The sequence below is a fragment of the Homo sapiens genome, chromosome 4, assembly GCF_000001405.40.
Source record: "Homo sapiens chromosome 4, GRCh38.p14 Primary Assembly".
Lineage (NCBI taxonomy): Eukaryota > Metazoa > Chordata > Mammalia > Primates > Hominidae > Homo > Homo sapiens.
Genome location: NC_000004.12, coordinates 173953132 through 173980783, shown reverse-complemented (window position 1 = coordinate 173980783; position 27652 = coordinate 173953132). Strand labels below are relative to the sequence as shown.

The window sequence follows — 27652 nt, the reverse complement described above, 5'->3', positions numbered from 1 at the left end:
CAGAGCCTACTGAAGTGTAATTCTATCAATTTTTATGAGTTTTTAAAAATCTCTTAGTTATGAAATTAAGAAAAATTATCTATAAATGCACCCTACTTTTGACATGTAAACTATATCATCCATTACATGTGTAAATATAACCAAATTTGATTAACGTCTTTGAGGAAAGGTAACACATAGTGGAATTACAGCTCCAAATTTATTTCAGTAATTTGTGCAATTTTTGTAAAACAGAAAAATATTAAAAAATAAGCATGTCAAATCAGCAGTGTTTTCAAAGTTTAAATACTTGAATTATGTTGCAATGGTACCACGGTCTACTTTGGTATTACAAAACACAGGCTAGAGAGATTTGGATTTTCTAATCACTAATCGTGATTCAAACAAACATTGCTATTTTTTTTTCAACTTTAAAGCACAATATAAAACTTGTAGGGGAGGAAGGAAAAGTAATAATTTTAAACATGCTTACCTCAACTAAGTCTGCTTTACAAAATGTAGCATTTCTTTGATTTTTAATTGTTTCTGCATTACTTGTGAATGTGACCACATGACTATAGTTTATGCTATTATGTTGTCAGGCTTCTGATAATGGGAAGGAATGTTTGTTTAGACTGTGTAGCTCTTCAGTTTAATTCACTCTGGCTCCAGTGTGACATGTTAAAACTGCTATCAATGGAAAATCCAATTTTCCCAGAAACACTTAAAACAACAGCAACCCCTGTGAACCGAAATTATCTCCTGTTGAGGCTAATTACCTTAGTACTCTTAGGAAAAGACTGCTATAGGAAATCTGTTGCCTTGGAGTCTCTTCTCTTGTGTAAAGTACCTTTAGTTGATATGAAGTTGTATATTTGCTGATGACTCTGTTGCATCCTTTCAGTACCAGTATAGGTGTGAGGAGAAACACAAAAACTGAAATGACATATTGAGCCCTAAACAAACATATTACATTATGTATGTACCTTTTCTGTGATTATTAAGTCTATGCCTAGAGAATTTACACCAGTACACTGTGATTTTGAGGCAAAAAAGAGGAAGGCTTAAGATACAAGGAAAAAATTAGAATGACTAAGTTAAAAAATTTATTAATCTGAAAGTTTACATATGGCAAATAACTTACATGACTTAACAAATAAAAAAGTATATTTCATAACATTTTCTACTGTGTTTGGCATACCACTACTCAATCCTCTAAAAAACCTAGTTCTATAGGCACATTATTTCCTGTATAAAATGATGGTTATTCTATTAGTCATTTATAAATGAAAAGAACAGTCATAAAGGGAAATGTAAAGACTCAATATTATTCTACATGTCATTTTAACAAGGTAGTTCTTGATAGCTCTGTTCAACTATATTGTTTACTTGAGGTTGGGGTGAAATTGAGTGTTACTGAAATCAACATTAAATGGATATCTAAATCAATTATTTCTGTAACCTAAATGGAAACGTTTTTCACACTTCATTTACCACTATCCTTACTGCAAATGAATGTTTGCAAATTCAGCAAACAGGGTCTTCCCCATATGCCAGTTTAGAGCTCAAATATGGCACCTAAAGCCACAATATAGGGTTATTGTTTATTTTTTAAAATTTGACTTGTCAATTTTTCTCTCTACAATTACAATTATTTAATAATAATAATGCTATAAGTAATAATAATTATCCTACAATTATCTAATCCTCTCATCACTTTTCTACGTTCAAAATATTGTTATTTTTAAAAATTTATATGGCAAACTGCAACATTATTTGGCCTTCAGTTAGTGTCAATGGGACTGTAGACACGTACAAACATGGGAATTGAACTTGAGTGGCCACACTCAGGTTAACATGGTCAGCTATATGATTCAATGTATGCATGTCTTAATTTTCTAGATTATCATTGTAACAGAAACCCAAAATTAAATTTTCTTTCAGAGAATTAAATGATGCTAGTTTAAAGGAAAAAATTTAACACAGGGGCTCCAGGAATGGTTGCTATTGAAGTCCTTGGTTTATAATAACTTCACTTGAAATGTCTATGATGTGATTTTTAAATTCTTTTATTATTTTTATTACTAGAATTTATATTCTATTCCAATGACATATCAACTGCTATGTGCTTTTGGCACTAAGTTTGTACAATCAAAGTAAAAACTAATTAAAGCAAATATCTGTTATAGTAAGAGGAAGCAAAATTGTGACAATGTTTCTCAAGCATTTCTAACATTAAATTAAATGTTTTGAGTAAATTAATGAAAATAATATGTCTGTAACTGATACTCTGGTTAGAAATATAAAATATGATTAAAGCAAATACATGAGCAGAAGTCAAAATGATAATAAGCTTATAATCCAAAGTTCCTGAAATGTGCACTACACTTCTTCCACATTCTTTGCTTGAATATGAAAAAGGAAACTCAACAGAAGCTCCATTGCAAAGCCCATCTCTGTCTCAGTGTAGGCTTTATCCAAAGTCATCTTAGACTCATTGCTCTGTCTTATGTTCTATAACCGGTCACTGATGTTTAGGAAGTTGTTCTCATGCTTCTATAAGAGATTTCTCTTAGAATATACTAGCAAACTTCATACCTAAGGTCTTCATGAGAGGGCTGACTTATTGCAGCAATGTGAATAGTGAAATTTTAAAGTTCACTGGTCCACATATCTTGACTGTATGGAATGAATACGGTCAAAAGTCATGTAGATGTCTGTCTTGTTTCCTTACATCTTTGGATGAAGGATCAGCTGTCTAAGAAACAACTCCCTACATCTATTGGTGCAAAAAATTTACTCCACAACTTAGCAGTTTAAAACAATAAACATTTATAATATTACACGGTTTATATGGGGTCAGAATTATAGGGATAGCTTAACTAGGTATCTTGGCTCATATTCTGTTTCAGTGTTTATCATAAGATTACAGTCAAGATGTCAGCCAGGGCTGCAGTCATCTGAAGGCTTGGCTGGGGCTGGGGAATCTGTTTCCAACTCCTTGGAGTTTACACATGCTGGTTAAGTTCATAGTTGTTGCTGGTGGGGGCCTTCTTGCCATGTCAGTTTCTCCTTAGGGCTGAGTGGCCTTGCTATATGGCTGGCTTCCACAAGAGTGATTGATCCAAGCAGGAGAAAAATGGAAGCTTTAACGTCCATTCTGACTTTGCCAGATTAGAATTAACACAATTATTTCCATGACATTTTACTGGTTACACAGGTCAGCTCTATTCAAAGAGGAAGAGGGCTAAGCAAGTGTGGATACCATGAAGGAAGAATCACTGGGGACCACCACGGAGGTTACCTACCACACTCCCCTAGATTTGCAATTTTTTTTCTTGCAGCTTCCAAAATATAGAATTAGAATACAGGCATTAAAAATATGATTGTGACACCAGATTAAAGCCACATTTCCCAATTCCCCTATTTTAGTAATTTAGAAAATATTTTGTTCTGAATCTTATATCTGTTTCTTAAATAAGTACTCTTAAAGAGGATAGGCATATGAATTAAATTTCACTATTAGCCCCCAATCACCTTTAAGTTATAAATTGATTTTGCCTCTGTCTACTCAGTTTCTATTCCCATTACCACTCCTCCTATAGCAGGGCTTCATTATCTTTTGGGGTGACTGTGAAAATACTCGCCCCTTAATTAGTTTTATTCCCTCTAATGCCTGATGTCGCTGGTCCATTCTCTACATATGCACTGTTTAATAGAACTTTCTACAATGACAAAAATGCTCTATATCTGCCCTGAGCACTTAAATTGTGGCTACTACAACTTAGGAACTGAGTTTTTGATTTTATTTAAATTTAATTAACTTAAATTTAGGTTTAAATAGCCACAAGCAGCTCATCACTACCATATTGGAGAGTGCAGTTGATTTTTCCCCAAACACAGATCTGATTATGCCATGACTTTGCCTAAAATACTTCTATTACTTTCCATTGCCCACCAGATAAAAGTCCAAACTCCAAACTCATTATGAACATGGTGTTTAGGATATTTATCAATTGCTTTCAAAGGTTATGACCATCGTTTATGTAGCCATATCAAAATGTGAGACTGCTCATAATTCCTTGAATCTATCATGTATTTTCACACCTTTATTTTATTTTATTTTTTGCTTACGTTGCTCCCACATTATCTTTCTTCCCAAATTACTATGTGCTTTTTAAAACCACTCAAATGCCACCTTCTCATTTCAGCTTTCTCTGAAACTCCAAACGCCCATGCCTCCAAGTAGAATGACTTTTCAATGTTCTTGTGCCATGTTTATACTTTCATGTTATATATTTATGTTTTAATATTATACTATCATAGGCTGACTTGTATTGGAGTTGTACAAAGTCTACCTGTAAGCATCTTGAGGGCAGAAACAGACTTTTTCAAATTTTTGTTTTCCTCACTGTCTACCACTTAGTAGGTTCTGACTAACTATAGAATCAGAAATAAATTTGGGCCAAATTTTGTTACTCCATTCATTATTATATAAAATAATTTCAGGCTGAAGAATCAATTTGCACATTCGATGTTACTGGCTTCTGGATCTTGAACATTTCCGTTTAAACCTGCAGTTGTGTAATGCCTTCAGGTTGGCTTCCTTCTTCCCAGACTGAGCTCCTGTAGAGGGGGAGGGAGTAGTGGGGAGGTGTCTTTATGGTCATCTTGGATTTGGGAACAAAGTAATAACATCCAGGTTTTAAAAGACTCCGCGTTTTTGCCTTCATTCCTAAGTCATAGCAAGGATTTTCCCTAGCTGTTGTAGTATGCATAAGCTGGCTGCTTAACCATTTCTTGCTCAGTGCATGTGGGCTATCTTTTCCTTCTTGTTTGATTTAGCAATCAAACATGTCATCAGAATGCAAAATAGTGTTAACAAATGTTTATGGTAAATTTAATATAATATTGATTACCTGAAGTAGTCCTGTCATGATTAGTGATATACCTGGAGTTTAAATGTTTTACCTCTAAAGATTCCAAATATTGAAAAAAAGGCATATTAGGATTATTACATATATACCTTTTTTTACCTTATTGTTTAAAGTAGTTGTAGCCTATGATATATAAAGAACCGAGAACTGTCTCAACTTGCACGTTATCAGTCAGAGCTCCTAATGCCACACCAGTCAGCCATTCTGTTTTATCTACATCTTGCCTGGGCTCAGCGGCTCCTCTGATTATTTTCCAACTTTCAGACCTTCATTACAAACATACACCATCATTCATTATAATGGTGTACTGAGAAAAATGGGTTAATATTTTACAATCTTTTAGAACGATTCTCTTGTTGGATGCTTGTGGTATTTAGGTTCCTGGATAAATACGTTCAAAATAATGTTTACAAGGGTATAGCTCAATTCAAAACCATTTCAAATGGAGTATTACTTCCATTCTGAGCCATTGTTTCCTACTCTGATATTTTAGCGGCAGTCTTTTGTGTTACTTACCATTCTCCTCTCACATTTTATCATAGAGAGGCCAGAAGGTACCTTCACCACACTACCTGGAAATCTCCCTAGATAGATCTAAAAATTCATTGAGTACATTTTCTATTGTCCAAGTTACTGCGGGTGATAGTGCTGCCAAACATTCTGGCACTACGTACATAACTAAGGTCTCCTTTCCTCCAGCATCCAGTGACATTTTTCTTACTTTCCTGAACACTTTCCCCAACAGTCTGCTCAAAGCCCAAATGCTCTCCTCGAAGACTCTGAGCTTCAATAACAGTCCCTGTGATGTCCTTTGGCTTCCATCTGCTACTTTGCCCCAAGGGCAATCCTGCTCTAGGATTTTGTGAGAGTAGCATCCCTCTCTTCTACCGTATTTTCTGAATCATCTAAACAGCTACATATATAAATTGTGAGATGTTGATGAATAGATTACCAGAGAATAATTTTAATAGAAAGTGTAATTTGTTTAAATGTGATTTCTTATTAATTATGAAAGCTCATATTTGTTTTCTTCTTTTCTGATGACTTAAAGAGATAAATGAAGAAATAAACGAGTTTACTTCTCTCTTCCCTACTTTCATGCTGAAAAACATGTTTGCATTTACGTTTTGAAGCATTTCTTGGCACCTAACCCATAAATTCTTACTTCTTTGACTCTATTGTCTTCCAATTAGTATTTAAACCGTGTAAAAAAGCAAGTGTTAATTTGCCTTTCTAACATCTGCCTGCAGAAATATTTTTCTCATTTTTATTTTTTATGAAACAAAGCAAAATAATCAATAAATAGTTAGAAAATACATAAGAAAAAACAATGCTGTTAAATGTTTACAAATTCCTCAGGAAAACAATCACTAAAATTATAGTTTATTTCTCTCAAGAGTATTACCTCTTCTCTCATTATTCATGGTAAGAGAAGTTAAATCATCTTCCCTATTCTCAGGCATATGATAAGAATAGGAAATAAACTATTTTCACTTGCTATAAACTGATTATCCACAAAAAACGTAGTGATTAACTATGTTTCTAACAAGGCAGGAACTCATAAATAAGCTATTAAATGAGCATATCAAATTTATTTGATATCAAGTAAATTGAACAAATTCAAATTTTAAATAATCTCATACTGAGTGATATCAGCAAAATGGTAGACTAGGAGGCCATGATGCCTGTCTCCCTCCCACAAAATAAATAAATAAATAAATATACAAACAACTGGCCGGGAGCGGTGGCTCACGCTTGTAATCCTAGCACTTTGGGAGGGGCGGATCACGAGGTCAGGATATCGAGACCATCCTGGCTAACACGGTGAAACCCCGTCTCTACTAAAAAAATACAAAAAAATTAGCCGGGCGTAGTGGCGGGCGCCTGTATTCCCAGCTACTCGGGAGGCTGAAGCAGGAGAATGGCGTGAACCCGGGAGGCAGAGCTTGCAGTGAGCCGAGATAGCGCCACTGCACTCCAGCCTGGGCGACTGAGCGAGACTCCGCCTCAAAAATAAATAAAGAAATAAATAAAAACAACTGCGCACCAACGAAAATTTCTTTAAGAAAGTTCTAGACTATAAGGAAGGAGCAGTAGAAACCCACGGGTGCAAAAAAACTGGGGCCAGCTGCATATTAGAGTCCAGGAAGCATTTTACCTGCCTCACTCCATCCCCTAGCTTAGTGGAGCAGATCAACACCAAGAGGGACCCCCCTCAGAGGATTTGCACCTTGTGAAAAAAAGCGGAGCAGAAGGACCTCAGCAATCTACATCAATACCATAGAAACCTGCAACCTTTGCTACTGAGGATTCCCCCAGTCTTCACTTAGGCTGAGCCCAGCTCACAGAGCTTCCCAGAGTCCATACTGCATTGCTGTCCCAGAGAAGGAGCCACTGCTGCATCCCCTGCTGCTGCACTGAGCATTAACTCGGGGCCTGAGTCACTAGCTGATATGCTTTGCCCTTTGGGATCAAGATACCATAACTCCTTGACATCTACAGAGTTGGAGCTGCCACCATTCTGTTCTCTGCCCCTTGGGTTCTAAGTCACTACTTTGACTTGCTGAAACAGGGACTGTGTTTCTGCTGTTCTGTGCCTCATTCTATGGGGTCTGAGTCTTGGCTGTGACAAACCATTACTGAGGTTGCCCTGCCAACCTGAGTTCTAATTTGTGGCTTTGGCTCACCATCACTAGGGCTGCACTGCCACTGCTCTGTGTCCCAAACCCTTGGGCCTGTCTTGTGGTGGCAACCTACCATCTCCTTAGCTGTGTTGCCACTGTATCGTGCCCCTGAGGCCCAGGCTGTGTCCTATCATAACTGGGTTTGTGCTGCTGCTGAGTCCTGACCCCTGGAGCCAAGTCACCCTGTAGCTCAAGACCCCAAACCCCAGCTTCATGAATAATCTGCATAAAACTCTGCCTCAGACACCAGCATCACCAATGCAGCAAGTGCATCTGCACCCCAGGCCCTAGGTGACACAATAGTTCCTCATGTCCAGCTCTGTTGCCACTCTGAGCATCTATACCCTAAACCCAGGTGCCATTACCACCATGAGTGCCCCTGCGCCTAGGACCTTGGTTATGATGTCTGCACCCTACACACACAGGCACTATTGTTGCCACAGTATGTCTATGCCCTGGATTCTAGCAACACCACAGCTGCATGCATATCAGCACGACAGATCCAACACCAAGAGAGACTCCCTCAGCTAGAATTATTTCCCATAAGGGAGAGGAGAACAGAAAAATCCCAGCAGACTTTGCCAAGGACCCCAACAACTCTTGCAGCTGCAACCACCACCGACATCTGCAACCTTGGTTGCCAAGGACCTTCACAGCCTTTGCTCACATTGACATTGATGGAATTGCGAGGCGGCTGCACTGCTGTCCCCAACCCAGAAATGGAAGTGGTGCACCTCATTTAGTTGGCACCCTTGTGGCCATCCAAAGATGACAGTCTTTTTCCACTGAAGCCAACCCAAAAGGAAGAGGTGACTGCTGCTTCAAATGTGAAGATATCAATGCAAAGCCACTAGAAGCATAGAAAAAAATGAAAACATGACATTATCAAAGGAACACAATAATTTTTCAGTAACTGACTCCAAAGAAATGGGGATATATGAAATGTTATTCCTTTGTTATTAACTGAAAATAACTCAAAACAATTATTATAACCAAGCTCAGCAAGATAAAAGAGAACACAGACAACTCAATAAACTCAGGGAAAAAAATTATATAGCAGATGCACAAAAGATACAGAGAAAGGAATCAAAGTATACCACTACAAAAAAATAATCAATTCACGAAAGAAGACAGCAAGAGATGAAGAAAGGGACAAAGGAACTACAAAATAATTAGAAAATAATTAACAAAATTGCAGAAATAAGTTCTTACCTATGAATAATTACTTAAAATGTATATGGAATAAATTAATCAAAATACAAGAGCGGCCGAGTGGATTAAATAAATGAGACTCAACTATATGCTGCTTACAATCATTTTAGCTTTAAGAATACTGACAGGTTAAAAATGAAGGAATGGAAAAAGATATTCCATGTAAATGGAAACCCAAACAGAGCAGAGCTAGCTATGCTTATGACAGCCCAAATAGACTGTAAGTCAAAAACTGTCACAAGACACAAAAAAGCTTATTATATAATTATAAAGAGGTCAATCCATCAAGAAGATAAAACAATTGTAAATCAGTATGTACCCACCATGGAGCACCTAAATATATAAAACAAATAATAATAGAAATGAAGAGAGAAATAGAAAGCAATGCAAGTATAATAGGAAACTTCAACACACCACTTTGAACAATGGATAGATTACTCAGACAGAAAACCAAAAAAAGAAAAATGAAACATTGAGCTTGAACTACACTTTAGACCAGATGGACCTAACAGACATATACAAAACATATGTAAATATCCAACAGCAGCTGAACAAACATCTCAAGTGAACATGGAACATTAGGATAAATAAGTTAAGTCACAAAACAAGTCTCAACAAATTTAAGAAGATTGAAATCGTATCAAGTATCTTTTATAATCACAGTGGTATGCCACTAGAAATCAAGAATAGGAAGACAATTGAAATATGGAGAAATATGTGGAAATTAAACAACAACCTCTTGAACAACTAATGTGTCAAGGAAGGCAGAAAAAGGTAAATCAAAAAATATGTTAAGACAAAAATGGAAATACAACATGCCAAAAAGTATAAGAAACAGCATAAGCAGTCCAAGAGGGAAGTCTATAGTGATAAATGTTTACAGTAAGAAAAAGAAATATCTTAAATAAACAATTATACTTTACACCTCAAGGAACCAGAAGAAGAAGATCATACTAAGCCCAAAGTTAACAGAAAGAAGTAAATAATAAAGATTAGAGCAGAAGTAAATGAAATTGAAATTTAAAAAGATAGAAAATATGAATGAAAATTGATCGACCAGATTTTAAAAATTGACAAAATTTTAGCTAGACTAACCAAGAATAAAAGAGATATGACTCAAAAAAGAAAGAAATAAAATTATTTATTTATTTATTTTATTATTATTTTTTGAGATGGAATCTCATTCTGTCACCCAGGCTGGAATGCAGTGGTGTGATCTTGGCTTACTGCAACCTCCACCTCCTGGGTTCGGGCAATTCCCCTGCCTCAGCTTCCAAAGTAGCTGGGACTAAAGACATGTGCCACCACGTCTGGCTAATTTTTTGCATTTTTTCAGTAGAGACGGGGTTTCACCATGTTGACCAGGGTGGTCTAGAACTCCTGACCTCAAGTGACCTGCCCACCTCAGCCTCCCAAAGTGCTGGGATTACAGGTGTGAGCCAATGTGCCCAACTGTAAATTTATAAATAAAAGGAGACATTACAATGATAACACAGAAATACAAGGGATTATAAGAGACTACTATGAGAATTTTTATGCCAAAAAATTGTTTAACCAAAAAATCGATAAACTTCTGGAAACATACAACTTACCAAGACTGAATCATGAAAAGATGGAAAATCTGAACAGCCCTATAACAAAGAGACTGAATCAGTAATCAAATACCTCCCAAAAATGAAAAACCCAGGACAAAATGGTTTCACTGGGAAATTCTACCAAACATTTAAAAAATTAACACCACCTAAAACTTTTTAAAAATTGAAGAGAAAGGACCATATTCAAACTCATTTTATGAGGCCAACATTATTCTGATACAAAAGCCAAATAAGAGCACTACAAGAAAAAAAAAATTAAAGGCCAATATGTCAGATGAACATAGACGCAAAATCCTCAAGAAAATATTAACAAAAGTCAAGTGGAATTTACCCCAGGATGAAAAGATGATTTAACATATGCAAATCAGTAAAGGTTATGCATGTTGTTAACAGAATAAAGGATAAAATCATGTAATCATCCCAATAGATGTAGAAAAAACTTTAAAACATTTGGCAAAATTCAATATTACTTCATGAATAAAAACTCTCAGCAAATTAGGGATAGAAGGAATGTACCCCAACTCAATAAAGGCCATCTATGGCAAGCCTACAGCTAATACCATCTTCAATAGTAAAAGCTGAAAGCTTTTCTTCTAAGATCAGGAACAAGACAAAGATGTGACTCTTACCATTTCTATTTAGCATCATGCTGAAAAAGTCCAGCCAGAGCAATTAGTCAAGAAAAAGAAGAAATAAAAAGCAGCCAAATTTGAAAAGTAAAAGTAACATTGTCTCTATTTGCAGATGGCAATATCTTATACACATAAAACCCAAAAGTTCTACCAAACTTTTAGAACTACTGAACAAATTCAGTAAAGGGACAGAATACAGAAATCAGTTGCATTTATTATGCACTAACAACAAACTGACTAAAAATGAAATTAAGAAAACAATCCCATTTACAATAGAATCGAAAAGAATAAAATAGGCGGAAGTTTAACCAAGGAGTTAAAAGACCTGTACACTGAAAACTAAAACATTGATGAAAAACATTGAAGTAAACACAAATAAAGATATTCCATGTCCATGGATTGAAAGAATTAACGTTGTCGAAATGTTGATACTGCACAAACTGCTTTACAGACTCGATGTAATCACTGTCAAAATACCAATGACATTTTTCACAGAAATAGAGAAAACAATCTTAAAATGTATGTGAAGCCACAAAAGAATTAAAGTAGCTAAAGTAATCTTGAGACGGAAGAACAAAGCTAGAGGCATCACACTTCTTGATTTTAAACTGCAGTTGACACCTAAACAACACAAAGATTGGGGTGCTGACTCCCCTGCACAGTTGAAAATCCATATATAACTTTTGACTCCTCAAAAATTTAACTACTAGGGGGTTCCAAGGTGGCTGAATATAAACAGCTCCAGTCTACAGCTCCCAGCGTGAGTGATGCAGAAGACAGGTGATTTCTGCATTTCCAACTGAGGTTCATCTCCCTGGGGCTCATCAGACAGTGGGGGCTGGACTGTGGGTGCAGCCCACCAGTGTGAGCTGAAGCAGGGCAAGGCATCGCCTCACCCGGGAAATGCAAGGGGTCAGGGAATTCCCTTTCCTACCCAAGGGAAGGGGTGACAGATGGCACCTGGAAAATCGGGTCACTCCCACCCTAATACTGCGCTTTTCCAAGGGTCTTTGCAAACGGCACACCAGGAGATTATATCCCGTGCCTGGCTCAGAGGGTCCCATGCCCACAGAGCCTTGCTCATTGCTAGCATAGCAGTCAGAGATTGAACTGCAAGGTGGCAGCGAGGCTGGGGGAGGGGTGCCCGCCATTGCTGAGGATTGAGTAGGTAAACAAAGCAGCCAGGAAGCTCGAACTGGGTGGAGCCCACCATAGCTCAAGGAGGCCTGCCTGCCTCTGTGGACTCCACCTCTGGGGGCAGGGCATAGCCCAACAAAAGGCAGTAAAAACCTCTGCAAACTTAAATGTCCCTGTCTGACAGCTTTGAAGAGGGTAGTGGTTCTCCCAGCATGAAGCTTGAGATCTAAGAATGGACAGACTGCCTCCTCAAGTGGGTCCCTGACCCCCAAGTAGCCTAACTGGGAGGCACCGCCCCCCCGAATAGAGGCAGACTGACACCTCACACAGCTGGGTACCCCTCTGAGACAAAGCTTCCAGAAGAACGATCAGGCAGGAACATTTGCTGTTCAGCAATATTCGCAGTTCTGCAGCCTCTGCTGCTGATACCCAGGCAAACAGGGTCTGGAGTGGACCTCCAACAAACTCCAACAGACCTGCAGCTGAGGGTCCTGACTGTTAGAAGGAAAACTTACAAGCAGAAAGGACATCCACACCAAAACCCCATCTGTATGTCACCATCATCAAAGACCAAAGGTAGATAAAACCACAAAGATGGGGAAAAAATAGAGAAGAAAAGCTGAAAATTCTAAAAATCAGAGCACCTCTGCCCCTCCAAAGGAATGCAGCTCCTCACCAGCAATGGAACAAAGCTGGAAGGAGAATGACTTTGATGAGTTGAGAGAAGAAAGCTTCAGATGATCAAACTTCTCTGAACTAAAGGAGGAAGTTCGAACCCAACGCAAAGAAGCTAAAAAGCTTGAAAAAATATTAGATGAATGGCTAACTAGAATAACCAGTGTAGAGAAGTCCTTAAATGACCTGATGGAGCTGAAAACTATGGCACGAGAACTAGGTGACAAATGCACAAGCTTCAGTAGGTGATTCGATCAACTGGAAGAAAGGGTATCAGTAATTGGAGATGAAATGAATGAAATGAAGCAAGAAGAGAAGTTTAGAGAAAAAAGAGTAAAAAGAAACGAACAAAGCCTCCAAGAAATATGGGACTACGTGAAAAGACCAAATCTACATCTGATTGGTGTACCTGAAAGTGACAGGGAGAATGGAACCAATTTGGAAAACACTCTTCAGGGTATGATCCAGGAGAACTTCCCCAACCTAGCAATGCAGGCCAACATTCAAATTCAGGAAATACAGAGAATGCCATAAAGATACTCCTCAAGAAGAGCAACTCCAAAACACATAATTGTCAGATTCACCAAAGTTGAAATGAAGGAAAAAATATTAAGGGCAGCCAGAGACAAAAGTCGGGTTACCCATAAAGAGAAACCCATCAGACTAACAGCGGATCTCTCGGCAGAAACTCTACAAGCCAGAAGAGACTGGGGGACAATATCCAACATTCTTAAAGAAAAGAATTTTCAACCCAGAATTTCATATCCAGCTAAACTAAGCTTCATAAGTGAAGGAGAAATAAAATACTTTACAGATAAGCAAATGCTGAGAGATTTTGTCACCACCAGGCCTGCATTACAAGAGCTCCTCAAGGAAACACTAAACATGGAAAGGAAAAACCAGTACCAGCCACTGCAAAAACATGCCAAATTGTAAAGACCATTGATGCAAGAAACTGCATCAACTAATGAGCAAAATAACCAGCTAACATCATAATGACAGGATGAAATTCACACATAACAATATGAACCTACACAGACTGTCAAATTGGATAGAGTCAAGACCCATCAGTGTGCTATATTCAGGAGACCCATCTCACGTGCAGAGAAACACATAGGCTTAAAATAAAGGGATGGAGTAAGATCTACCAAGCAAATGGAAAACAAAAAAAGGCAGGGGTTGCAATCCTAGTCTCTGATAAAATAGACTTTAAACCAACAAAGATCAAAAGAGACAAAGAAGGCCATTACATAATGGTAAAGGGATCAATTCAACAAGAAGAGCTAACTATCTTAAATATATATGCACCCAATACAGGAGCACCCAGATTCATAAAGCAAGTCCTTAGAGATCTACTAAGAGACTTAGACTCCCACACAATAATAATGGGAGACTTTAACACCCCACTGTCAACATTAGACAGATCAACAAGACAGAAAGTTAACAAAGATATCCAGGAATTGAACTCAGCTTTGCACCAAGCCGACCTAATAGACATCTACAGAACTCTCCATCCCAAATCAACAGAATATACATTCTTCTCAGCACCACATCACACCTATTCCAAAACTGACCACATACTTGGAAGTAAAGCACTCCTCAGCAAATGTAAAAGAACAGAAATTATAACAAACTGTCTCTCAGACCACAGTGCAATCAAACTAGAACTCAGGATTAAGAAACTCACTCAAAACTGCTCAACTACATGGAAACTGAAGAACCTGCTCCGGAATGACTACTGGGTACATAACGAAATGAAGGCAGAAATAAAGATGTTCTTTGAAACCAATGAGAACAAAGACACAACATACTAGAATCTCTGGGACACATTTAAAGCAGTGTGTAGAGGGAAATTTATAGCACTAAATGCCCACAAGAGAAAGCAGGAAAGATCTAAAATTGACACCCTGACATCACAATTAAAAGAGCTAAAGAAGCAAGAGCAAACACATTCAAAAGCTAGCAGAAGGCAAGAAATAGCTAAGATCAGAGAAGAACTGAAGGAGATAGAGACACAAAAAACCTTTCAAAAAATCAATGAATCCAGGAGCTGGTTTTTTGAAAAGATCAGCAAAATTGATAGACCTCTAGCAAGACTAATAAAGAAGAAAAGAGAGAAGTATTAAACAGACGCAATAAAAAATGATAAAGGGGATATCACCACTGATCCCACAGAAATACAAACTGCCATCAGAGAATACTATAAACACCTCTATAAAAATAAACTAGAAAACATAGAAGAAATGGATAAATTCCTGGACACATACACCCTCCCAAGACTAAACCAGGAAGAAATTGAATCCCTGAATAGACCAATAGCAGACTCTGAAGTTGAGGCAATAATTAATAGCCTACCAACCAAAAAAAGTCCAGGACCAGATGGATTCACAGCCAAATTCTACCAGAGGTACAAGGAGAAGCTGGTACCATTCCTTCTGAAACTATTCCAACCAATTCAAAAAGAGGGAATCCTCCCTAACTCATTTTATGGGCCAGCATCATCCTGATACCAAAGCCTGGCAGAGACACAACAAAAAAAGAGAATTTTAGACTAGTATACCTGATGGACATCCATGCAAAAATCCTCAATAAAATACTGGCAAACTGAATCCAGCAGCACATCAGAAAGCTTATCCACCATGATCAAGTGGGCTTCATCCCTGTGATGCAAGGCTGGTTCAACATACGAAAATCAATAAACGTAATCTAGCATACAAACAGAACCAAAGACAAAAACCACATGATTATCTCAATACATGCAGAAAAGGCCTTTGACAAAATTCAACAACCCTTCATGCTAAAAACTCTCAATAAATTAGATATTGATGGGATGTATCTCAAAATAATAAGAGCTATTTATGACAAACCCACAGCCAGTATCATACTGAATGGGCAAATACTGGAAGCATTCCCTTTGAAAACTGGTACAAGACAGGGATGCCCTCACTCACCACTCCTATTCAACATAGTGTTGGAAGTTCTGGCCAGGACATCAGGCAGGAGAAAGAAATAAAGGGTATTCAATTAGGAAAAGAGGAAGTCAAATTGTCCCTGTCTGCAGACAAAATGATTGTATATTTAGAAAACCCCATCATCTCAGCCCCAAATCTCCTTAAGCTGATAAGCAACTTCAGCAAAGTCTCAGGATACAAAATCAACGTGCAAAAATCACAAGCTTTCTTATACACCAATAACAGACAAACAGAGAGCCAAATCATGAGTGAACTCCCATTCACAATTGCTTCAAAGAGAATAAAATATCTAGGAATCCAACTTACAAGGGATGTGAAGGACCTCTTCAAGGAGAACTACAAACCACTGCTCAATGAGGATACAAACAAATGGAAGAACATTCCATGCTCATGGGTAGGAAGAATCAATATCATGAAAATGGCCATACTGCCCAAGGTAATTTATAGATTCAATGCCATCCCCATCAAGCTACCAACGACTTTCTTCACAGAATTGGAAAGAACTACTTTAAAGTTCATATGGAACCAAAAAAGAGCCCACATTGCCAAGTCAATCCTAAGTCAAAAGAACAAAGCTGGAGGCATCACACTACCTGACTTCAAACTATACTACAAGGCTACAGTAACCAAAACAGCATGGTACTGGTACCAAAACAGAGATATAGACCAATGGAATAGAACAGAGCCCTCAGAAATAATACCACATATCTACAACCATCTTATCTTTGACAAACCCAACAAAAACAAGAAATGGGGAAAGGATTCCCTATTTAATAAATGATGCTGGGAAAACTGACTAGCCATATGTAGAAAGCTGAAACTGGATCCCTTCCTTACACCTTATACAAGTATTAATTCAAGATGGATTAAAGACTTAAATGTTAGACCTAAAACCATAAAAACCCTAGAAGAAAACCTAGGCAGTACCATTCAGGACATAGGCATGGGCAAGGACTTCATGTCTAAAACACCAAAAGCAATGGCAACAAAAGCCAAAACTGACAAATGGGATCTAATTAAACTAAAGAGCTTCTGCACAGCAAAAGAAACTGCCATCAGAGTGAACAGGCAACCTACAGAATGGGAGAAAAGTTTTGCAGTCTACTCATCTGACAAAGGGCTAATATCCAGAATCTACAATGAACTCCAACAAATTTACAAGAAAAAAACAACCCCATCAACAAGTGGGCAAAGGATATGAACAGACACTTCTCAAACGAAGACGTTTATGCAACCAACAGACACATGAAAGAATGCTCATCATCACTGGCCATCAGAGAAATGCAAATCAAAACCACAATGAGATACCATCTCACACCAGTTAGAATGGCGATCATTAAAAAGTCAGGAAACAACAGGTGCTGGAGAGGATGTGGAGAAATACGAACACTTTTACACTGTTGGTGGGACTGTAAACTAGTTCAACCATTGTGGAAGACAGTGTGGTGATTCCTCAAGGATCTAGAACTAGAAATACCATTTGACCCAGCCATCCCATTACTGGGTATATACCCAAAGGATTATAAATCATGCTGCTATAAAGGCACATGCACACGTATGTTTATTGCAGCACTATTCACAACAGCAAAGACTTGGAACCAACCCAAATGTCCATCAACAGTAGACTGGATTAAGAAAATGTGGTACATATACACCATGGAATACTATGCAGCCATAAAAAGGATGAGTTCATGTCCTTTGTAGGGACATGGATAAAGCTGGAAACCGTCATTCTCAGCAAACTATCGCAAGAACAAAAACCAAACACCGCATGTTCTCACTCATAGGTGGGAATTGAACAATGAGAATACTTGGACACAGGAAGGGGAACATCACACACCAGGGCCTGTCGTGGGGTGGGGAAAGGGGGGAGGGAAAACATTAGGAGATATACCTAATGTAAATGACGAGTTAATGGGTGCAGCACACCAACATGGCACATCTATACATATGTAACAAACCTGCACGTTGTGCACATGTACCCTAGAACTTCAAGTATAATAATAATAACAAAAAAATTTAACTACTAATAGCCCACTGTTGACCAGAAGCCTTACTCATAAAAAGAGTTGCTTAATGCATGTTTTATATATGTATTTATATACTGTATTCTTATAATAAGTAAACAAGAGAAAAGAAAGTTATCTTTAAAAAATCATAAGGAAGAGAGAATATATTTTCTATTCATTAAGTAAAAGTGGATCTTCAGAAAGACCCTCATCTTTGTTGTCTTCATGTTCAGTAGGCTAAGGAGGAGGAAAGGTTGTTCTTGATGTCTTGGGGTGGCAAGAGGCAGAAGAGGTGGAGGAGGTGGAAGGGGAGACAGAAGAGGCATTCATGCTTGGTGTAAATTTTATTGAAAAAAACTCACGTATAAGTGGACTTGTGCAACTCAAACATGTGTTCTTCAAGAGTCAACAGCACATTACAGAGTTATAGTAATCAAAACAGTATGATGCTGGCATAAAAACAGACATATAGACCAATGGAACAGAGCAGAGAGCCCAGAAATAAACTCACCTATATCCAGTCAGCTAGTCTTCAACAAGGATGCCAAAAATATACAATGGAAAAAGGATAGTCTCTTCAATAAACGATATTGGGAAAATTGGCTATTCATATACAAAAGAATTAAATTAGAATCTTATCTTAAGCCATACACAGAAAACAACTCAAAATGCACTAAAGGCTTAAATGTAGGACATGAAACTGTAAATGCAAGACAAAAATATAGCAATTAAGCTTCCTGCACAGCAAATAATACAGTCAACAAGATAAAAGATCAATGGATTGGGAAAAATATTTGGAAACTATATATCTGATAAGGAGTTATAGCCAAAATATATAAGGAACTCATACAACTTAATAGCAAAAAATAAACAATAACTTGATTTAAAAATCGGCAAAAGGCCTGAACAGACATTTTCCAAAGAAGACATATAAAATGGCCAACAGTTGGTTTCCATAGTGTAGTTGTTACCACGTTCGCCTGACCAAATGGCCATGAGGTGTATGAAAGGGTGCTGGACATCGCTAATCATACAAGAAATACAAATCAAAACTACAAAGATATATTTTCTTACACCTGTTAGTTTGGTCTTTGTCAAAAAGAGAAGAGATAATGTGTTGGTGAGGGGTGGATATAAGAGAACTTTTGCACACTATTGATGCAAATGTAAATTGGTATAGCCATTATGAAAAATGGCATTTTGAAGTTCCTCAAAAATTAGAACTAGAACTACTATACGATCTAGCAGTCTCACTTATGTATATGTTCAAAGAAAATAAAATCCATATGTTAAAGAGGTATGTGCATTCCTATGTTCATTGCTGCATTATTCATAGTCGCCAAGATACGGAAACAACCAAAATGTCTATTGACAGATGAATGGATAAAGAATATGTCATGTATATCTATACAATAGAGTACAATTTAGCCTTTAAAAATAAGAAAATCCTGCCATTTGCTACAAGGCAGATGAACTCGGAGGAGGTTATGCTAAGGGAAATAAGCCAGACATGGAGAGACAAATATTGTATGGTATAAATTAAGTGGGATCTAAAAATAGTTGAACTTAGAGAAACAGAATAGAATAGTGGTAGCCGGAGGCTGGGGGTGGTGGAAATGGGGAGGTGTTGGTCAAAGTGTAAAAGCTTTCAGTTGCAAGATGAATAAGTTCTAGAGATCTAATTTACATCATAGTAACTACAGTTTAATAATAATACATTGTATACTTGAAATTTAGTAGAAGAGTAGATCTTAAAAATAAATAAATAAATAAATTCATACTACATATCAAAGGAGGAGAAAATAGCTCTGAAAAACCATCAATAGGTAATGCACAGATTATTATCTTCTAATAAATTTCAGTGAGAAAGGAAAGAAAGGACACTCATGGATTTCAATGCCATAACATTTTGAATATATTTTATTTTGTGCTTTGGGAATCATGTGTTAAAGGGATTTTATTTTCTCTAAGGCCTCATAACACAGTCAAGACTTTTCCAATTACTTTCATTTCATCTGGATCACTTACACTCAGGAAGGATTTAATGTTTCAATAATAATAATTGGAAACAAAACATGTCACCTAAAATTTGATCTTCTTTTTTGGTTCTGTGTTGACTTTATATACTATTCTCTACTCCTTCTCTGATTATCTATTACTGCATAACAAACTGCATTCAAAATTTGAGAATTTAAAATAGTCTTGTTTACAATCTTGTGTGCCAGAATTTGGGAAGGACTCAGCTGGGCAGCTCATTTCTGCTTCTCATGGAATGAGCTGGTGTAGCTCTACAGGTCTGGAGAATTCACTTCCAAGGTGGCTCACTTCCACGGTGCAGGCTGCTGGGTAAGAGCCCTGCTGGGGCTATCGTCTGGGGCGTTGGTTCCTTTTCACGTTGGCCTCTCCTATGGCAGCCAGGTGTCTAGAGCAAGTGTTCCAAGCAGACAGGCCAGAAACCGTGTGTCCTTTTTGACCTATGATCTATAATATCAGAAGTCTCAAAATATCACTTGTACTGCATTCTGTTGTTCAAGCAAGGCTTACAAAACTCAGCCAACACTCAGGGAGAGGGGAACTAAACTGTACTTCTCAATGGCAGATGCAGCAAAGACTTTGCAGGCATCTTTAATCTATCACAACCGCAGAACATAAAAGAAAAAATTTTAGATGAGGACTTGAAGGAAATTGTCTTGCTGAGTGGAGGATAAATATTCCTTGAATATATCTTTAACACTCGCCCCTTTTCAACATTTCTACTGCTTTCCATATATGTCCTAATTGTAACTACATGTTTTCACTATTTTAGTTTTCTTGCCTCTATTGTCTTTCCCACCAATACACCGCAGATATTAACCTTTCCAAAACACTGCATTCCTCAGGTCTTTTAGAATCTTCAGGGTTTACAGGATAGAAACCAATTTTACTAGCTAAGTCTGGAATATAAAAATTATTCTATTATGAAAGTATTTAAAGTCCTCCAAATCTGATACTAGATTTTTCTTTCCATGCTTATTTCCCACTAATTCCTTCTTATTCAAGCAAATTAGCTCTTCATTTTAACTTTTTAAGCAACTTCTTTTCAGTCTGGTCTTGGCATCTTTTCTCATTCCACAAACTAAAATGTCCATACTTTTCCAGATTAAAGCCTGCATTGTCCATGACAACCTAAACACTGGAGGCTACATTATAGTTTTCTCTTCCAAAGTTTCGATATACCAATCTCTCAACAACTGCACTCAACCTTGTACTATTATAAATAAACATTATTCACAAGAGCATAACTTCTATTTTACTAAATTATAAGGTCCTTGATAACATGAGCCACTTATACTTATTTTTGTATTCTACATTTAGAATAGTTATTGCTACATGGTAGAAACTTACTAAATATTTGCTGAATTGAATGTATACTTCCTTTTTGTTATTTTTTCTATATTCATGAAAATATGCCTAACATATTTTAATATGGAAATGATATTCATAAAAACATTTATAGTGTTTCTAATTTCTAAATTAAAAATTCCAAATTATAACTCTTAAAATCAGTCTGTGTTTTTGTTGGAAATTAATGTTATTGATACAATAACAAAACAGGCATAGATGCCATCTGAACAGATCCTTTATGGTAAAATATTTTTATGACTATATAGACATGTTTTCAAAGTTTCTCTCCTACTTTAAATGCATCAAAGGCAATATGGATTCATAGTTTCCATTTTCCTTTTGTTAATTTATTAAATTAACAAATTGACTTTCACAATCTACCGTTACACAGGAGCCCATTGGTCTCATTAATTTGGTAGTGTTATAGAAATATTTCCAGAATTCAGTGATTAAGTTGGAAAAACTACAAAGTGTAAAAAAGAAAAGGAGGCAATTTTAAGATAAACTGAAAAGTTAGACAGGAATCTGTTCGTTGTAAAATGTCTTTAAAAATAATATTTTAAAATCTGTTTCTTTACTGATTGTTCTTTCTCAGTTGCTTTGTTTTTCAGTTACAATATAAACTTATTTAATTTTACAAACCTTTTGCCAGATAATCCTATATCAACATATCTTATATAAGCCATGAAACCATTTCATAAATACTATTGTAAAGTTATGTTTATGTCCAAATATCTTAGAATAGATTTTTTTTCCTCCTTGGAATTAGCAATGTGCCTTGTTAGCAAAACCTCAAAGTAGGAGCATGATTTTGCATTTGGCACATCATAAATAACTGTGCCGACTGTCAGGTTTCCCACTGATTGAGTTTATGCTAACTTAGTAATCTATTTTAGTTAAGTAAACCACAACTCTGAATCATCATTCCTCTGAGAAACAGAAAGTGTAATGAGGAAATAAATGATGTGCCACAATTTTTATAAAATGATGTAATTCATTTTTTAACATATCAGGATTGTAGCTTTGCTTCCTATGCTGTGAGTACACAAATTGTAATTGAGATGAGATTTTATTTTTGCTGAGATAGGTAGTTTAAAATTGTACTCAATGTGAAATCTGAAGAGTAAGAAGCAGAAATAGGTATCAAGACATAATCATGGTGGTTACGTCTATAAACATCAGCATCATTTGAGATAATGTTTTACGTATGTTTAATTCTAGGTTTACATATATGTGTGAAAAAGCTAGTAAAGCTAATAATTCTCTTTGATAAGCTCCATAAACCCTAAAATGAAATATTCATTCATTAAAGATACCTCCCTGATTATGTGGCTTCATTAACTAATGTTATCAGATGCTACTTTGCATTCATGTTATTGTGCTTGAAAATGTTTTATTTCTAGTATTTTTATCAAAACTATACAAAAAGACGGTAATGCTGTCAAAAATTATTCACTCAGAGTATATTTCTCTAACTAATAATGCTTTTGCTTGTATTATGCTGGTCTTTTTTGAAGAAAAGTTAAATATTTTTGTGCATTTTGTAGAAAGATAAGTATTATTTAGAAATGCAGCTATCTAAATTTCATTTAAAAAAAGCAAAACTACGTTTCTCAGACAGATATATATACATACGTATAAATGTATATACATATATGTATGTATATATATGTATGTGTGTGTATATATATGTATGTATGTGTGTGTGTTTCTCTGTAATGGGGTTTCTGTAAAAGCAACCAAATTGCGAGAAGCGTAGTTTTGCTTTTTTGAAATGAAATTTAAATAGTTGCATTTCTAAATAATATTCGTCTTTGTATAAAATGTACAAAAATGTTTAACTTCTTCAAAAAAGAGCATGCATAATATAAGCAAAAGCATTATTAGAGAAATATACTCTGAGCAAATAACTTTTGACAGCATTACCATCTTTTTGACAGTTTTGATAAAAAATACTAGAAATAAAAATTTCAAACACAGTAACATGAATGCAAAGTAGCATCTGATAACATTAATTAACGAAGCCACATAATCAGAAAGGTATCTTTAATGAATGAATATTTCATTTTAGGATTTATGGAGCTTATCGAAGATAATTAGTAGCTTTATTAGCTTTTTTGCATATGTATATAAACCTAAAATTAAACATATATAAAACATCTCAAATGATGCTGATGTTTATAGACGTAACCGCCATGATTATGTCTTGATACCTATTTCCTATTATCACTCTTCAGATTTCCCCTTGATTAAAATTTCACCTAGACTACAAATTATATATATATATATAGAGAGAGAGAGAGAGAGAGAGGTATACATATGTGTGTTTCTGTATATGTATGTGTGTTTGTGTGTGTGTGTATGCGTATAGAGAGAGAGTCTTGCCCTCTTGCCCAGGCTGGAGTGCAGTAGCACAGTCACGGCTCACAGCTTAAAAGATTAACAACTCCAGCGGGGCGCCGTGGCTCACTCCTGTAATCTCAGCACTTTGGGAGGCCAAGGCGGGCGGATCACGAGTTCAAGAGATCGAGACCATCCTGGCCAACATGGTGAAACCCCGTCTCTACTAAAAATACAAAAATTAGCTGGGCGTGGTGGCACATGCCTGTAGTCCCAGCTACTCGGGAGGCTGAGGCAGGAGAATCGCTTGAACCCGGGAAGCAGAGGTTGCAGTGAGCCAAGATTGTGCCACTGCACTCCAGCCTGGCAACAGAGTGAGACTCCATCCCCTGCTCCGCCAAAAACAAAACAAAAAAAACATTAACAACTCCTTGTATAACATGCATAACCAATAGCAGAGAAAGGCTCTGAAGGGGACGGTAGGAATAGGATTCAAATTCTTTTGGACAGTATGTGTGATAATTTAAACTTAAGATATAACATCCTATTTCTGGAGAGAGAACATTATTATTTGTTAAAAGTTATGAATCTGAAAATAAGAAAAATTATTCAGTCATGGCTAGGAAGGATTCACATATGAATGCCTTCTAACCTCTGACCCAAATTTGTCATGTCTGATAATAAAAACATAATTCCAACAATGCGGAATATTGATCGGACTGCAAGGCCCCCAACATGCAGACCTAGCACGTCCCACAGCTATATTCTTACCACCAGCAGGAGCCAGTTGTAGCATGAATTCAACAGGGCAATCGTAAAAAGTATCTACCTAAAACATTGATTACTACATGCCACAACACATGTGTGTAATTTTTCCATCCCTTTTATTTTTCTCCTCAATGAATTGAAAGTAGAGCTAATGACAGGGTCGATGAAGTGAAAAAGGAAGTCAGAGACAGAAAGAGCGAACCACTGGAAGGCTACAGGAATTTACCATTTTTATGAATTTCTTTTCGCCCCAACATTGACCCAGAGGTGATTCATGGAGGATTTGAATCATAGTTATTGAACACATGGTAGGCAGATTATTTGACTGGTAGGTGATAGAGTCAGACTCAATAAACTTGAAAATGAAAAAGAGCTGTTCTATTCAACTTATGTGTAGAGAAACAACATACCTGATTACTGTACAAGAATAATGCAATACATTATCATGGCTCTCCTCTTACATGAAGCCCGCAGTGGAGAGCTGGGCATGCTCCTGATCTCATCGAATACCTGTGATACAGATTCCACATATAAAACTAGCCAAAATGCAATAAAGAATTATGTAAAAACAAAGTTCACACATCTGTGTGTTGTCTTCACTAATATCCCAAATCCCAGACTTCTGCTTGGGCACGTAGTATAGGCACGCAATAAATGTTGAATGATGGAAAGAAAGAATATCCTTGTAAATAATCATCAAAATTAAGTTGGATAAAACAGATGAAAAATTTTTAAAGCCACTTTAAAACCAGACAAGTGGGGGACTTGGGCAGTCTTTGTAACTGCCACAAAAAACTGAATTAGAAACTCTGTAAACTGGTTCTGACGTTCATTGCAGTGCAGAGCCTCATTCTGCGACACTTGGGAGTTTAAATTGACCTCATGATTCAGATCATTGGAAGGATGTATCATTTTTAAGACGCTCAGTTCATATGTTATTTATTTATTTATTTTAACTTTTACTTTAGGTTCAGGGGTACATGTGCACGTTTGTTATATAGGAGAACTGTGTCTCATGGGGGTTCAGTGTACAGATTATTTTGTCACTCTGATAGTAAGCAGAGTACCCAATAGGTATTTTTTTCTGATCCTCTCCCTCCTACCACCCTCCACCCTCGAGTAGACTGTAGTTTATTTTTAAAAAGATGAAAAAGGATGAGCTGCATTGGAGGTCTAGAATAATTAGACTTTTGAAAGCAAAGGAGATGCCTCTCTTTGCCACCTATTTAAATGGAAGTTAGAAAGAAATACCTTGAGATTTGCTTGTGAAAATGTTCAAAGCCTTACGCTGTGAATTGATGGGGTGTGGTATTCAGAAGAAAAGACATGTGTGGATAAATTATGAGGCTTTCCCAGCCCAAGTACCACTGATTAAGAGTTTATGATCTGCCCACCAAGCGGCCAGATATAGTCTCTACGACCTTCACCACACACTTGGTTATTGGCATTTTGACACCTTTTTTGCACAGCTGGGGTCGTTCCTGACACTGTCAATGTAATATCCCTGTTTCAGATCACAAACATTACTCGTTAACCTTAGGGCAGAAATCTAACGTAATCAAATATCCTTTTGCCACCTAATTCAAATCAATAGGGGCCTGGAGAGATAGGAAAAGATAATGTAAACAATATACAGGGAAATGATCAAGAATTGATCATAGGGCTTTTCTGTTTTCAGAGTCCACAATCTGTCAGTTTCTAGGTATTAATTATTTTGTGAACAATGTGTTAAAAAGTGCAAAATATAGGTGCTGTGATTTAGGGGAATTATAGTCTTTAGCAAAATGGTTTTCCTTGTTTTCTTGTTTGATGGAAAAAATATTCATGATCTCAAGTATGGCAGAGAAAAGTTTTCAAGAATTACACATTCTTTTTTATTTATTCTCTCTGACTTCCTATAAGTTACCTCTTACAGTCACTTTGAAACATAATGTTCTTTATTTTGATCACATCATTCTTCTCTCTAAAACCTATATCTTTGTCTTTGTATATTTCAGCTGGCTAGATTTTGCAATAATTGCCTTAAAAGTTTGGGAGAGATCACTTCTCGGCCTTTTGTCTAAGATCAAGTGTAAAAGTTTAGGAGAGAGAAGGCTGTTCCTAACCTGTCTAATTTCTTGATAACCAGGGCCAGGACCAGGATGTCTCACTCCACCTTATTCCCCGCCTTGCTCATAACCAGATGCTAATTATGTCCCCAGGCAGTAAAAACCGCACAGATTTTAAAAAACAAAGTGTGATGAGAATTACTGATAGTAGATTTTTAAATTTGAAAACACAATTTTATCATTATGTTGTCCCAAATGATGCCTCCTCCCTTTTAATAAGGTGAAAAAAGTCTAATTTAACATTTTAGTAAGCTTGTTACCCAAAACTTTAATGGAACTTAGCCTAGATGAGAGCTCACACTGGATTCTTAACATAGTTCTTACTCTTTGAATCATGTTTAAAGAACAATTTCTGGACGAGCGTGGTGGCTGATGCCTGTAATCCCAGCACTTTGGGAGGCCGAAGCGGGTGGTTTACCTGAGGTCGCGAGTTTGAGGCCAGCTTCACCAACAGGGAGAAACCCCGTCTCTACTACAAAATCCAAAATTAGCCGGGCGTGGTGGCACATGCCTGTAATCCTAGCTACTTGGGAGGCTGAGGCAGGAGAATTGCTTGAACCTGGGAGACGGAGGTTGCCGGGAGCCGAGATCGCGCCATTGCACTCCAGTCTGGACAACAAGGGTGAAACTCCATCTCAAACAAAAACAAACAAACAAACAAAAACTTCCATAATGCAAATGCTGCTCTTACAGGTAGACTGAAATTACTTTTATATGCAGAGACGACAAAGAAAAAACATTATGTTATGGTCCCAATGCAAGCATCATTTTCTTATCTCGAAATTTTAATTATTAAAGAGATATCTTGCTTTGGGGGCTACTCAGAAATAACGTTTATTATGTTCATTATATGTTATCATAATATTATTGTTTAAATGTTATTAAGTCACTCTGAAGGATGATTCAATCACCTTTCTAATGAGATATAAGACACAGCAGCTAGTCTCTTTTGTGAGCAAGGAGCAAAAGAGAAAGGAGATGGGAGAGGCCAAGAAAATCTAGGGCAGCACATAAAAAAGCCTCATCCATTCCTCATTCTCCATCTAGCTCCCTGCTAGGCGTTTCACTCCTGACTCCTTCTGTGGAATCACCTCACCTTTACCTGAGGCAGGTCCAATGACAGGTCCATTCGTTGGCAACTCATCCACCTTCCCAGCCCCACCCAGGGACCTGTGGGAACTTCTTGGTGTCATCCAGATTATTTATTAGGTGCAATCTAA

The 27652-nt window shown here is 36.9% G+C and overlaps 2 long non-coding RNA genes across 5 annotated transcripts in view; one reads left to right on the top strand and one right to left on the bottom strand.

Moving 5' to 3' along the window:
* The window catches only part of LOC105377543 (uncharacterized), a 66783-nt gene that overhangs the window by 10183 nt on the left and 28948 nt on the right, over window positions 1-27652 (top strand). The gene's annotated exons all lie outside the window — the stretch shown is intronic.
* LOC105377544 (uncharacterized) lies at window positions 599-27041 on the bottom strand. Of its 2 annotated transcripts, none has more exons than XR_939482.3 (3): window positions 26851-27041; window positions 24735-24834; window positions 599-876 (listed from the first exon to the last, which is right to left on the bottom strand). It is a non-coding gene; the product is annotated as an uncharacterized LOC105377544 (long non-coding RNA). The 2 variants fall into 2 exon arrangements; XR_939483.3 differs by lacking the exon at window positions 599-876 and adding an exon at window positions 19735-20313 and having other exon boundaries at window positions 26851-26973.